This window comes from Homo sapiens, chromosome 2 (genome assembly GCF_000001405.40).
Source record: "Homo sapiens chromosome 2, GRCh38.p14 Primary Assembly".
Taxonomy (NCBI): domain Eukaryota; kingdom Metazoa; phylum Chordata; class Mammalia; order Primates; family Hominidae; genus Homo; species Homo sapiens.
The window spans coordinates 179,577,658-179,593,081 of record NC_000002.12 but is presented as its reverse complement, the minus strand read 5'-3'; the positions used below and the strand labels follow the sequence as shown (position 1 = coordinate 179,593,081).

General features: G+C 37.7%; 1 protein-coding gene across 19 annotated transcripts in view; it reads left to right on the top strand.

Moving 5' to 3' along the window:
* The window catches only part of ZNF385B (zinc finger protein 385B), a 419,631-nt gene that overhangs the window by 268,531 nt on the left and 135,676 nt on the right, over positions 1–15,424 (top strand). For 2 of the 19 annotated variants that reach the window (NR_104234.2, NM_001282725.3), the window contains exons 1-2: positions 7,176–7,214; positions 9,015–9,107. The exons of 16 other annotated variants lie outside the window; for them this stretch is intronic. The gene's annotated coding sequence lies outside the window, so the exon portion shown is untranslated. Of the gene's footprint in view, positions 1–7,175; positions 7,215–9,014; positions 9,108–11,410; positions 11,554–15,424 lie in introns of those variants that run through there. One more of the 19 variants, NM_001352814.2, reaches the window with a different exon arrangement.

Here is a 15,424-nt window from a genome sequence, read left to right as displayed (position 1 = left end):
AATGTTTGGGGAAAATTCTATTCAATCCTGGGGAAGTTATTTCCTTTGTCTTCCCTTTGAACAGTAACTTTTTATGGTGGGTTGGATAGATAAAGCTCACTGCAAAAGTTTAGGTTTTAGAATCCCCAAGTAGGTTGTAACAGACCATATTCCCATATGAAAATTGACATTCCCTTATAATGTACTTAATATAAGGTCGTAGAGACTTTTGAGAATCCATTGGGGCCTGCTCTCAATAACAAAAAAGACACAGAGAAATAAAGTATATGAGGATTAGAGTTGCCAAAAACCTTCCATGAGCAGTTTAGACATACGGCCTTCAAGTAGAACTAACATACTTCCGTTTAATTTTTTTAATCTTGTTAATAATTAACATAATGCAACAACCCCATATGGACCATGAAACAATAGAACATAATTCCAAAGCAGTTTTCATATTATATTCTTTTCTGTAAAAAAAAATAGTGTCCAAACATCTTACGGTATACTTTTCTTCAGTGTTCTTCCCAATTAATAAGTATTAGCACTTTCCTAGGGTAGAATTTGCTGTGAGTTCCTGCTGTGGTAAAGACGACATGGAGTTAATCACAGTGTCATGCTTTCATTCTCAGTTTTTTAGTGAGGTGTACTTATTACCAAAGGAAAGCCTTCTACGAAAATAGTACAGCCCATGTTATGATTGAATTGTGTATTTTAGCCATCCAGCTAACTGAGGCTATTAAATTACAGTGGTCAGTGCTATACTTATGAGTTATAAAAATGGCATTTAAGTTATTTAAATGAACAGGGTTTTTTTTTCCAAATAGACTTTATATTTGCCTGCTTGAACATCCAGAGGAAGAGGGTGTAGAGAGCTCTTAACTGCACCACTGCTGAGAGAGCAACGTGTTTTCTGGAAGACAGTGTAAAGGGGTAGAAGAGCAGGGAAAGAGAATCTGCCAGTCTTGAGATTTGTCTCAGTGTTTAGAGGATTCGTAGCTATTTATTCTTCATAAATGGAGCATGTGCAGGTTTAGTGGTGTAACTTTTGAAAAGATATTGTTTCTGCCTAATTTGTAATCACAAGATACCTAATTATATTGCTGTTAACAACACCTCATTTTCACACTATGGACTATATAGGGCATGCTCTGGGCCTGTTTTTCACTAAGGAAAAAGAAAATGAGCTGCTACCTGAAGTCACTGGGGCGGAAGGATCCCTGGGGTCCAAGTGATCTTACAGAATGGCCCTGGAGGGAAGCTCAAGATTCAACCTACAGCTCTGACACTTGATAAATCACAGAAAGGTTCTGCCTGAGCCTCAGTTTATCTATTAATGAGGACAGTCCACACATTCCATCATATCCAATTTATGGGGGGAAAAAAGAGAGAATCTAATGTTAGCTAGGCAAAGTATAAACCAAGCAGAGAGAGAAAGTTCAGTGGCTTTACTCTCTACCCTGAAGCCTCACCAAGTACTGAGGTCACCATTTGGACTGAACAGTTTTGAGGTGCTTTTAAATTAGCCCTGTTTAGAAAAGATTAAGTTAAAATTTCATCAGCAAAGAACAGCTTTCTAGAGATGAACATTAAATGACTTTTAAGAAAAGTCATTTAAGAAAAGCAGTATTAGCCAGGCCAACCCCTTCCTCCCACTGGGTTCTGTAATACTGCTTGGGAGTCATATACCCAAAGCCCTTTCATTGCTCTCTGTATTTCCTTGGTCAATAAGGTATATATTCTATTCAAAGTAAGACATGTTCTAATATAAATATTCCCATTTTTCCTTAATCTAAGAACTACTGGAAAGCTGAAAAAAAAAGTTTTGAAACCACACTATACAGATAATATAGAAAGAACAGAGGGAACGTTTGTAATCATATGAAAATAATAGGAAATATACAATTAAAAGAAGTTTAAAAATAACATAAAATAATTTTCTATTATTACAAAGAAACTTTCTAGGGGTTTGAATTGTGTGTGTGTGTGTGTGTGTGTAAATGAATCATGAACCACTCTGGGACTAAGATACTTTATCTTTGTAACAGGTAGTGAATAATTAGAAAATCCCAAACATCCCATTAAACCTTAACTTTCTAGGACTGTTGGTACTATAGTCATTATAAGTAAATGTAGGTCAGTGTATTAGTTCATTTTCATACTGCTATAAAGATACTACCTGAGACTGGATAATTATAAAGGAAAGAGTTTTAATTGACTCAGTTCCACATGGTGGGGGAAGCCTCAGGAAACTTACAATCATGGTGGAAGGCAAGGGGTGTGTAAGGGACATCTTACATGGCAGCAGGAGAGAGAGAGGGAGCGCAAAGGAAACTGCCACTTTTAAGCAATCAGATCTCCTGAGAACTCCCTATCATGAGAACAGCATGGGGGAAACCACCCCCATGATCCAATCACCTCCCACAAGGTCCCTCCCTTGACACACAGGGATTACAATTCAAGATGAGATTTGGGTGAGGATGCAGAGCCAAACCATATCAGTCAGGTAAAAACATTTATCTCAAGGGGAAGCTGAAATAACCGAATGATATTTGTGTAGCATTAAACACGTAAAATTCTCAGGAGTGCAGAAAAAGAATCTAAAATGGAGAAATAAAGAAATAAAGCCACAAATTAGTGAATACTAGTATATTCTGGATGGTAAAATAATGGTAACAACAGTCACAGGTAAAATAGGCAAAATGGCGCAGGTAGAAGTACCAGTTGCCAGGCATTGGGCTTAAACCCCATGTATACATTGTCTCGTTTAATCCCATGAAACAAATTCTAACATAACCCGTCTCTTACAAATGAGAGATCAGAGACACAAAGAGGTTCACTCCCTTGCCTAAGCTGTCTGAAGTTGAGGAACATTAGTTCAAGTCCCAGTGGTCTGACTCCAGGGTATGTGCCCTCTCTTGTTCAATGCTGATAACCCTATAAGATGAGCACAACCCACTGAGGTAAATAATGGTTTCCCCATTACAGGGAATGGCAGCAGAAGATCAGAGAAGTTAGGTGACTTCTCCAGGGTCACATACAGACCCCACACAATAGCAGAGATGTTAACCCAGGCCTTTTTAAACATGTATTTTCTGCTATGCCATGCTAAATTTTTTCCCATTGTCATTTTTATCACTTTGGTGACGGTTTAATGAATACAGAATTGTATATCTGACTATAATTAGATCTGCCTCACAAAAGAAAAATTAGCAGATCAACAGTAGGTTTCAGACTAGTAATAAGCATTCACATCACAATAACATCCTCTTTTCAAGTTGGCCCAATACATAGCTTTCCATAAGACATGCACAGTGGGACTTTTCACAAACCTGCTTGTATCCAGTGACTAAACTGATGGTGTCTCATTGACATTTTTCCTTTTAATCATAGAGCTAGTGAGGTAAAGTGAGACTTGGTTAATTATTTTAAAACTCTGGGACCCTCTAAGATAGTCACATATTAGGCTCAGCATCAGTGGGTATATACAAATAGGAAATAGGCATGTAATCTAGGCTTTTACTGGTGTAAGAGAGAGCTACCATTTCTTTCCCCTTCTCTGCGCAACAGGTAAGAGCTGTGGATTAAAGAAATCTTCACACTACTTCTCAACTAGCCCACTTTAAAAATAAATTCATCCCTCCCTTTTCCGAGACTTCTTTTGTTCTCCTCTTTGGTGTTCTTCTTTCCCTATGGAATACATGTGTCTGGGCATCCCTACCTGGTTTGGACTTGATGGGATAATGGACAGGAAGCTGGATCATTCAGTCTCTGGCTCTCTGCTGATACAAGCAGAAACTGAGCCAGTTAGACCAGAGTTAAGCCTCCTATTCATTTCATGTATGCCATTGAGCAGCTAGAGAGTAATGATGATTTTTATTCCCTCCTGGTATTAAGTCTGAGAGGCAAACTGACAAGTAACAAGAAAATTCAAAATTAAAGCTGACATACCTTCCTTAATTCTTCCCAAGGTGCTTGGGTATGATTATTATTTAATGCTTCTTTGTCACTGAAAAGATATGGGGTACCAGTTAACTCATGAAACAGTTTCAGATAATAGAAATTGGCCTGAAAACTAAGACCAAAATGTGAAAAATACCACAGAGGCAAGAGGTTTCAGGTCAGGTGGAAGCAGGTTTCTGAAATCCTAACATGTAGACTGTTGCAGAGCTCTCTCTACAGTGCTGGGCAGCATTTTGCAAGAGTTCTTGTTTTTTGTGACATTTGCCTTCTGTGTATAGCCGCTAAAGCTCAGCCCTATTGTATCATCACATTTTCCTTTTCAGACTCACCACCATTGATGGTGGGTCAGAAACATCATCCACATACACAAAGGGCAGTGCATTGTAACATTTGAAGATGGAAAAGAAAAGAATCTTCAGTCACTAGGCAGGCTGACCTCAGGGCTGTCAAGCAAATTATGGCAGTCCGGGATGTCTGCTCAGAGGATCACTGTGGTGTGGCATATGATAAATGAGTGGTTTTCATGGCCTCGGGCTCCTTCCCAGGAGAGAGAGTCTAAGTTGGAAAATGATTTTAGCAATCATGGTGGGTAAGTGTGACAGAACTCAAATACCACCCCCTTTCTCCCTGCTTGCATGGGGAATGGCAGGACTGAGTCTTAACTTCTAGCATGTTCAATAAAAGATGAGTAAAATAATCTTCCCTATTCATTCCCCCTCTTTGAGATAAAAGTTTGCCCAGGCAGAATAGCATTTTTTTAATATCAGAAGTTTTGCTCATTAAGAGAGAAGGGGGAGGACGAGGCGGGCGGATCACGAGGTCAGGAGATTGAGACCATGCTCGCTAACACGGTGAAACGCCGTCTCTGCTAAAAATACAAAAAATTAGCCGGGCATGGTGGCGGGCGCCTGTATTCCCAGCTACTCGGGAGGCTGAGGCAGGAGAATGGCGTGAACCCAGGAGGCGGAGCTTGCAGTGAGCCGAGATGGTGCCACTGCACTCCAGCCTGGGCGACAGAGCGAGACTCTGTCTTGGGGGGAAAAAAAATAAAAGAGAGAAGGGCCTGCCAAATGCTTGCCTTTCCGATGGAGGTTAGAAACTGGCATTGACAAATGGCCCTCATTTTTTCACCTCACCTCAGTATGTCAGGTCTTTGTATTCAAGTGCTATCAACTCCTAAAGGAATATGAAAGACCATTTTATCTTTTGAGAGACCCTAAGCATGGGGCAAGTTTGTTTTATTTCACAGATTAAAGAACGGGACTTATTATTAGGAGAAAATAGAAGTTAAATGTTCATAGTACCCTTGATCTTCTTATGAACAGAAGACTTGAAACAAGCCTGGGCTTGGAGGGAATTTTTTAAATCTTCTCTTTTTTCCTGTGCTTCTGGGAGTGATGTTTAAGTTCTGCCATCTGTAGGACATGTGCATTTTAAACCTTTTACTTAGAGCTTCAGCTTTTTGGGAAAGTTTTTATTTTTGTTTATGGTACCTAAACAACAGAAATTAGCCTCCATCTGAGATAGTCTCTGCATTATTAAAATGCAGCTTGTTGTGCAGTGTTTTAATGGGCTCTTTAAGGTCTTTACATATTAATGTTATATACCAAGAACTATTAAAACATTCCAAATAAAACAGATTCATCAGTTAAGTGCTCTGTTTTACTGTGGTCATGAACGAAAAGGACAAACTAGTTATCGTCATGGTCACTTAAAAAATTGTAATCTATTCCAAAGACAGTTTTCTCATAAAAAGCCACTTAGTCACATAATTCTGGGGAAGTCCTAGAGAGTTTATTACTCTCTCATTTTTATTCATATGTTTTAGAAGCCAAATAAATTAAAACAATTTAACCTATTATAGGTTATTTTATGAAATATTTAGAGTAACTTCTTAATCTGAGACAAGTATTTCTTCTGCCAACAAGAATGTGGTAACATATTAGTTTGTCTTCAGCTGGTATGTATTTAAAGATTTTGAAGGCCTTTAAAAATACCTAAGTGCTAATTGGTAAGGTCAACCAGGTGGAAGGGAGTGGGGAGTAGGGAGGAAGGTGAATATAAAGTAAAATTATACATAATTTTTTTTGTTTGTTTTTTTGAGATGGAGTCTCACTCTGTTGCCCAGGCTGGAGTGCAATGGCATGATCTCGGCTCACTACAACCTCCACCTCCCAGGTTCAAGCAGTTCTTCTGCCTCAGCCTCCTGAGTAGCTGGGACTACAGGCACGTGCCACCACGCCCGGCTAATTTTTTTGTATTTTTAGTAGAGACAGGGTTTCACCATGTTGATCAGGCTGGTCTCGAACTCCTGACCTCGTGATCCGCCCGCCTCGGCCTCCCAGAGTGCTGGGATTACAGGCATGAGCCACCATGCCCAGCCAATAATACATCATTTTAAAATGATCTAGCTCACTGTTTCTTTCAACCAAAAAAGAGTAATAGCTCCTCATTAAATATTTACTTAAATATTTCACATTAAAACCTTCTTGAACCAAGTTGGCAACCTACAGAGCTGGGCCCTGGGTGCCCTCCTTTTAAGTCAATGGGGTGGCAGCCGAATATAACACAAGAGCTGTAAGTCAGGCAACAGCTACAGCTTCTATTCTTCACTTAGCCACTCATTAGATGAGTGACCTTAGGCGAGTCATTTAGCTTCTTTCGGGCCTTGTTTCCTTATTGGTAATAATAGAGGCTTAGACTAAATTCCTTTAAACAGATACTACAGGGCTGCTGATATGCCATGTTTTGGTGAGACATAAAAATGTAAAAAGCAGCCCCTGTCTTCAAGGAAGTGACAGTTTAATAGAAAAGACATCTATAAAAACAAATGCATGCAAAAAAGTGGTTTCGAGACTGTTACATAAATTTGTACTATGTACATTGGGGGCACCAAAAGAAAAGTTGTCAATCCTATCTGGGTTTAGGTGAGAGAGATGAAATTCACAAAGACTTAACAGATGAAATGCTTGAACTGAGTTTGAATGCCACTACCCAGATGAACATGGGGATGGAAACTATAAGAGCACCCGTCTATAGAAGTGAGTCAGCATAAAGCCCCAGGACCTAACAGTGGTCCTTTATGGCTGGAATATAAGTATAAGATAAAATATGCAAAGGATCATTGGAACAAATGGAAAAGTCTTTCTGTGACATAAGGATTCCAGAATTTGTGAGACGCTATGACAGGGTTCTAAGTAGAATTTGTGAACTGTTCGTATATGTGTTCTAGAGAGATCATTCTTGCAAAGTATGGCAAAGGCTTGGCAAAGGTGAGCAAGGAAACCATTCAGGAGGCTATTACAGAGGTACATGGAAGAGATGATAAAGGTCACAGTGTAGCCATCGAGTAGAAGGAACAGAACTATAAGATGTGAGGAAAGTGATTCCTATCAAATCACTGATTAAATGAGGGTTGAGGGAAGAGGAGGAAAGTCTGTAACATCCTTTCAGTTTTCATCTCCCATGAGTCAATTATTCCAAGACTGTTAGATTACATACTGAAACCTCTCAATTCAAGGAAGGATTTTCATAAACACACTTAATGGAAATATATTTTTAGATCTTGACAGATATAATGGCATATTGTTTTGAATTCATTGCTTTTCAACTTTGGAGTCATTCTCTTTTTAAAGGGAGCCCTATAATCATAGTGCAGAATGAGTCAGGTATTAAAGTTAATTTGTCATTTAGAAGACATACCGTAGGCAAGTAAATAGGTACTATAAAGACACCCTGAATCATGTGGTGCTCTGTTAAAAGGCAAAAACAATCCATTGGTGCTTACATTCAGAAATTCCATGAGGTAGGTCAATATAAATACCCAGGAGACTCTGAGAGCCAGAAACAAGAGCAGCCTCTAAACAGTATCCACATAACCTGAAGACAGAACTCATGCTAATGTTTTCCTTTTTTACTCTGGGCACATTTGTTACTTATCCTACCATAAGCACTGTCTTTACATCATTCCATTACTTTCTGCCAAATGTCTTGAAGGTATCTCTCTTTTATCCCATGCCATTGATTCCAGCCCACTGTAAGCTGGCTGCCACCCAGAACATACCAATAAGGTACTTCTGGCAAAGGTCACCAATGTCTTCCTAATTTCCAAATCCAGTGGATGTGTGTCACTCCTCATCTTACTTGACCTTTATGCTATGTTATGAAACTCTCCTCATTTGCTCTCTGTGTGTGACATCAGGACTGCCCTGATTTTCCTTCACCTCTGTCTCCCTTGTCACTGTCAGGTCCATGGGCTCCTCTTTCAAACACTACACTCTCCCTGGGTCATTTCATTTATACATATGGCATCTATATATAGGTGGTGTTCATTCTTCTGGCCTGAGTCATGCCCCTATGTTTCAGAAATGGAAATCTAACTGTCTTTTGGACATCTACACCTGGTTGTCCCTCAGGCAACTCAAATTCAACATATCCAAAACTGAACCCCTTCTTTCTTCTCCTCTGCATTCCTCGGTAGGCATATGTAGGTTTTCCTACTTACCTCATGCATACTTCCCCACTCCATGCCTTCTAAGCCACCTTTAGTCCTCCAGATATGTTGTACTCATTATAAACTCTGAGTCTTTGCACATGCTCAGAGGCCTTCCTGATACACATATGAAATATATATTTTCTTCATCTGGCTGAATTTTATGGAACTTTCAGGCCTTTGTGAAGGTGTTGCCTCCTTCAGAAAACTTTCCTGCCCCTAGACTCATGTTGTTCGATGCCCGTCTTTCTTTTGTCATTTTATAGTATTTTATACTGCATTGCAGCAGTTCTCAGTGGCTTAGGGAGTGAGAGGATAGGTGGTAGGAGGATTATTTTGCCCTCCCCACCCCACCAGGGACTTTTGACAATGTCTGGAGATATTTTTTGTTATAACAAGGGGTTAGGATGCTAGTGGCATCTAGTAGGTAGAGGCCAGGGATGCTGCCTACATCCCTATAATATTCTACAGTGCATAGCACCCCACAACACTGAATTATTCAGTTCAAAATGTCATTAATGCCAAGGTTGAAAAACTCTGCTCTAATGTAATTACCTACTTATTTTTCTGTTTCTCCCAGTAGACTATAAGCTTTTGGAAAACAGGGACTATGTCTTCTTCAACAATGTGTACACAACAAGTAGCAGGTTGTTTGGCACATGGCAGATGCTCGGTAAATATGAATGTATGAACTGAGTGGGTATGTTGATGGATGGTTTGAATGGTTTTTCATTCTGGCCCAGAGAGAAAATGTATAATTTATATGTGGACTGAGGGCAGTAAGATCTGAGGTTTCACTCCTGAAATGGCCCTGCTGCCAGTTCCACTGTTTGAGATACTGATCATGGGGATAGTAGGAAGACTGAAACTATGGATGTGTGTCTCTATTTTGTTGTCTATTTAAGGATATATAATTGTATTTATTTAGATATTTACCTGTATTACTTGCTGAGTGAGGTATAACTATGTACATGTTTGTATCCATTGCTAGTAACCACTAATAGGTCTGAGTACCTATTATATGCAAAATATTTTAGCATGCTGTTATGGGAAAACAAAGTTTGGTTTAAATTCTGGCTTAGTTTGAAAACTGAGCCATATAACCCTAAGCAAGAATCTTAGCCTCACTAATCTTCAGTATTCTCAACTAATAAGCATAGAGTTGTTTTGATGATTACATAAATGAAAATATATAAAGTACTTAATATATAGCAAGTCCTCAATAAATGTTACTTCCTTCTGCCTCTTCTCCAAACTCTCTATATTAGTTAGAAATTGCATTTGACACAGAAGCACAGCCCTGATAATAATGGCTTAAATTGATAGTTTATTTTTCTCCCACATAAAAGAAGTCTGGAGGTCTGAAATACAGGATTGCTTTGATGACTCCTCAGAGTCATTAAGAAATCCCAGCCCTTTTTAGCCTCAACATTTTACTATGCCTAAAGTGTGACCGTGGTACTCAAAATGCCTGTCATGTCTATGTGGCAAGCAGCAGACTATAGGACAGGGTGAAGAAGGTCATGCCTCCTCTCTTTGAAAGAACCTTCCAGGTGGATCACCTGAGGTCAGGAGTTTGAGACCAGCCTGACCAACATGGTGAAACCCCCGTCTCTACTAAAAATGCAAAATTAGCCAGGCGAGATGGCTCATGCCTGTAATCCCAGATAATCAGCAGGCTGAGGCAGGAGAATCGCTTGAACCCAGGAGGCAGAGGTTGCAGTGAACTGAGACTGCATGACTGCACTCCAGCCTGGGCAATAACAGCGAAACTCCATCTCAAAAAACAACAACAACAAAAAATATTGGTTTCTTAATGACAAAACTACCATGATAACATAAGATGTTGACATTAGCAGAAATGAGGTAAGGAGTATATGAGAACCCTCTGTTTACTATCTTTGTAATTTTTCTATAAATTTAAAATTATTCCAAATTACAAAGTTTATTTTTAAAATGCAAATTACTGGCACACATTGAAAACTTGTTAATTTTTGTAGGGCATTATCTATAGTGGATGCATTTGAGTATAATCTCCATGTGTGTAGGGACTTTGTCTAACTTGTTCCTTGATGTCTCCTCAAGAACTAAAGGAGTACCTAAGGATAATACCGGGGAAGAGAGCGCACACTCAAAAAACCCCATCTGATCTGTTTCTGAGTTATCGTGCATGCTCAGTGTATTATTCTGTAAATTGTTATAGCATCCTGACTAGCAGCTCTCCATTTCATAGTCCAGGAGAATCAGCATACTTTTTCTCCATAATTTTCCTAATGGAACATTTTATGAAATATAAGTCCTGGAGGAGCTGGTAACCAACTGCTAGACACTTTATTAGAAAAATAAGGGTCTGTAGCACTAATGCTAATCTAAGGAAATTAAAGTCTTTTTATAATCCTGTGAGATTAATAGATCAGGGGTTGAAAACTGCACAGTTCTAATTTTCTATAAATTAGTCTTTTCTCTCTATTAGTGTAAAAAATATCTAATGAGAAAAGTACTTGATTTAAAAACCAGCCTCACCACTTACTACCGAAGTGGTTATGAGGAAGTTTTAAAATCTCTCTAAGCCTAAATTTGCTAGCAAACTTGGAGTAGTGAGACTTTACAAGGCATATGTACAGTCCTCTATTAATGAAAATACAGGATAGTTTACTATAACAAGAGCACAATAATAAAGTGGTTTTCATAAGACAGAGGCTTGTTTCTGTCTCACCTAACAATTCAGAAATGGTATTACAGCTTATCGGGAGCCCAGTCTACTCCATGTTGTTGCTTAGGCACTTCTGGTGTGCACTTCCACATTCCAGATTACAGGAAGGAAAAAAGGAGGAAACACACCTTTCTAAGGGCATGACCTGGAAGTTATCACTTCTACTCATATCCCATTGGCCAGAACCCAGTCATGTGGTCCCAGCTAGCTGCAAGGAATTCTGGGAAATGCTTTCTGTATCTGGGAAGCAATTTGCTGAGCTCATACTTCTGATATTTTGGAGATTGGAAAGACAACTAGCAGTGCCTACCATAAGTACCTAGAGTAGTGCCTTACATGGAATAAATGCTCACCAAATGACATTCTCATTAAATCATCTGGAAGATAATTAGTGTGAAAGGAATAGGTAAGGAGAAACGTTTTACCAGCTATGACTTTTAAATCACTCAGAATTAAAGATAGACCTTCCTAGGAAACTATGTTTGCATTTGAAAATTTGCTCATCTTCTTGTAAATTAAAACACAGCTTTACAAAAAATAAGATCTTCTATTCAGCCTGAGGAAAATAAGCTGCAGAAGTAATTTTTTTAACTGTACTTGTTTTTATATGTAACAACTAGTTTCCCTTCTAGTTCAGGAAACTCTAGTAGAATTAGAAGGAACCATGCTTGGTAAAAAAGGAAAGATACAAAGTAAACTGTTACTTATTTTTAATGTAGAAATTCTTTTGTTGCACAGTTGTAAATTCTGTAATCATAATTTTGCTCCTGTCTACTCTTTGCATGGATTCAGTTTCAAGCTTTTGCCATAATTTGTATTTACATACATGGGACTGCACCTTTAAGGATCTATTTCCATTTTTCTTGGTTTGGTTTAATTATTTCCTAAGGATATTTACAGTAACCTGCTGAACTTGGACAGTTTCATTCCAGGGAAAGTAGTTTATACTGAACCCCATTCATGCTAACCTTGCCTAGGACATTCTTACATTCCATAGGCCACAACTCCAGGTTGTCAGCCCCTCATGTGATTTGTCAGACCACACTGCTCCCTAGCTGGCAGCTCGACAGAGTTCAGTTGGCCCTGCTCTTTGCAATGTGACGGATGAACATGATACCAGCTATATTAGTTTGCTTGGGCAGCTGTAACAAAATGCCATAGACTTGCTTAACAAATTTTTCATAGTTCTGAAGACTGAGAAGTCCAAGAACAAGTCTTCAGGCAATTCAGTTTCTGGTGAGGGCTCTTTTCCTGGCTTGCAGATGCCCCCTTCTCACTGTGTGCTCCAATGTTAAGAGAGTGCTCTGATATCTCTTTCTACTTATAAGGGAACTAGCCCTATTAGATTAGGGCCCACCTTTATTACCTCATTTGACCTTTATCACGTTCTTACCTGGCCTCCTGGCCTGTCTACAAATACAGTCACGTTGGTGGTTAGGACTTTAAAATATGAATTATGGGGGTAAGGGGGACATAAATACTCAGTCCATAACACTGGTCTTTCTTTCATTTATTATGATACCCACAAAGAGTGAGTGTTTTTTCTAGTATTTTCCCTATGCCATTCTGGGCAACCTGCCTAAAGTTTTCTATGGTGGAAGATTACGTTAGTGGCTTCCTAAACTCTCTTTTTCTAATGAGATCTCTGGTTTAATGGCAGTGTTTGGACCCACAGAATACCCTGGGAGTTATAAGATGTTAAGAAATTAAAATGTGATAAAATGATGTTTGTAGAGCACTCTGCACTTTTCTTGCTTACATTATTTATTTAATCCTCATGGTAATTTGGTGAAAATGATTGGGATGGTGCAGTGGCTCTATTTTATATATTAGAAAATTGAAGTTTGGAATGTTCAATATTTCTCTAAGGTCTTAGGACTAATAGTTGATTAACACTGAGATTCCATTCCAGGCCTTCAAATTTCTAAACCACATTAAACCAAATATGAGCTGAATTTGGCTCTGGAGCCACTAAAATTTGGTTTCAATCCAAGTTCTGTCACTTATTAACAGTAAGTGGGCAAGTTACTTAACTCACTAAAATTTCTCAATCTTCTCTGTGACATGCAAATAATAGAGTCCACCTTATAGTGTTCTAATGAAAATCAAATTATATAATGCATAGAAATAACAAAACATCTGCTACATAGAAAATTGTTCAAAATTGTTGGTTATTATTTTTAAGCACATATCAAATCCTATTCATTAAATTTAACTCTGAATTTATGTTTTATTGGACTTTAGGATAAAGTGTTATTTAAATTATATGAGCTATTGACAGATCTCCAAACACTTTACAAGTTTATAAATGTTATAAAATTTATGATATGGATTTTATTGAGATATGAGCATCTTAATGATCAACATTTGTGCACATTTATTTATATATTTATTCATGTATATATTCATGCCTGGTCAAGCAACAGATTAAAGCAATTAACAATTAGCAGATATTTTAAACAGCTGTCAGTTATACTTTAAGCAAGCCAGTGGGATTTTTTAGTTATCTAACTTTGGTATGAGGTCATTTAGTTATCTAGTTTTAGATTGAGGTCATTTTGTTCTCATTAATAAAAGAAGCTGAGTTTGGTATTCTTAGTTTTTATCTCACACCAGTAAGCCAGTAACACTCAGTATATGCTAATAATTATGATTAAAGAAATATTAAGGAAACAAAGATTTAGCTGCTTGAAATTTGGTATACTGAAAAGCCTAATTAATAAAATTTTCAGTTTTTCTCCACATTAGCCAGGATTTAATCTCCATCAAAATACATATTTTTCTATTAGTCTAATTCTACAAACCCAACATAAGAGGTCATTGTCACACAGTCTTATGTCAACCATAATGACTGGAAGGTGCTCTCCTAGTGTTCCCAGATTTGTCAGGTAATTTACTGTGTATGTCAGGATAAAGTAACAACACATATTTTAATTTGTTTTGCACATCATTCCTGATTCTCATATGGAAATAATTAGGGAATTTCATGCACTTCTAGATTTAATATGAGTGTGTGTTTATGGATATATAAGTAAGAGAATGTTCAGATTTCATAGAGGAGGTCAAATAAGCTTTTCTCAGGTAGAAGAAACTATACCAAACCAAGAGTTAACACACTTGATGCAAAGTTTATTAGCAATGTAAATGTCATTACCTCTGATTCGTGATCAGCTGAACAAACAGTGAAGGGCCACTGTGACTTTCAAGCTTTAGGAACAGAATCTAATGACCTTAAAAGGCAAAAGAACTGTTTCCCACTAGGTATGGATGGAAGTGATTCAATTCTGAGCATCATCATGATTGGCAATTAATAATGCAAATGACTTGTGTTGATCCAAAATGGTTCTCAGTATCTGGGCAAGGCAACTATGAATGTGTATATGAGTGAGGTAGATTATAACAAAATTATTTTCATTCTATGCCTCATAGTCTCAGAGTGACTGTATACACATAGGCACCACACACATCCTCTAACCATCTTGATTTGAGAGGGCAAGATGAATGTGCCTACTACATTAGTTTGCTTTTGTGTATAATTGTTACAGTTTTAAGATATGGCTTAACTTGTAGTGTGTACTCAGAAAGGAGAGTTACTCATTACCTTGTACATAACTCATTTATTGCCCTTGTAACATATTTGTTTTCTTTTCCCAACTACCTCTTAAGAGCAGGGACCCTGTCTTCGTTAGAATGAACACAGGCACTGGTTCATAGTAGATGCTTAAGAAATATTTGAATGAATTTATAAATGAATTAGAGCTTCTGAATGGAAGTCTATAGTACTTAAATGTGCAACATACATAAATATAAACATTATCCAAAGAATCTATCAATGTGTATATGGATGCACAAACACACATATACATCCCACGTTCAGAGTACTGTCACTAGTTGAGGAAAGTGATTAATGTCTAAGGTGCCTAGCCAACAATAATAGCATATGATTATGTAATTAAGTAATAAGTAATTGTGAAGGAAGGAAAAACTATTTAGATACTTACTGATTGCTTAATATAAAAAATGGATATATGTTAGCTTAAAAACATTATGAGAGTTAAATATATCAGCCTATGAAAAATAACAGAAAAGCAAACACATTGACACTTATTCATAGTCATCAGTATTTTTTTTTAGTAAAGACAGCACAAACCACTAAACAATTAGTTTATTCATTGTTTTCCTTACTGTGGCCATAACTAGTATTCATATTAGTAATTTATTAGGAATACTGACACATAATTATCCAAACTTTTGTAAAAAGCGATTATAGTTTTTTT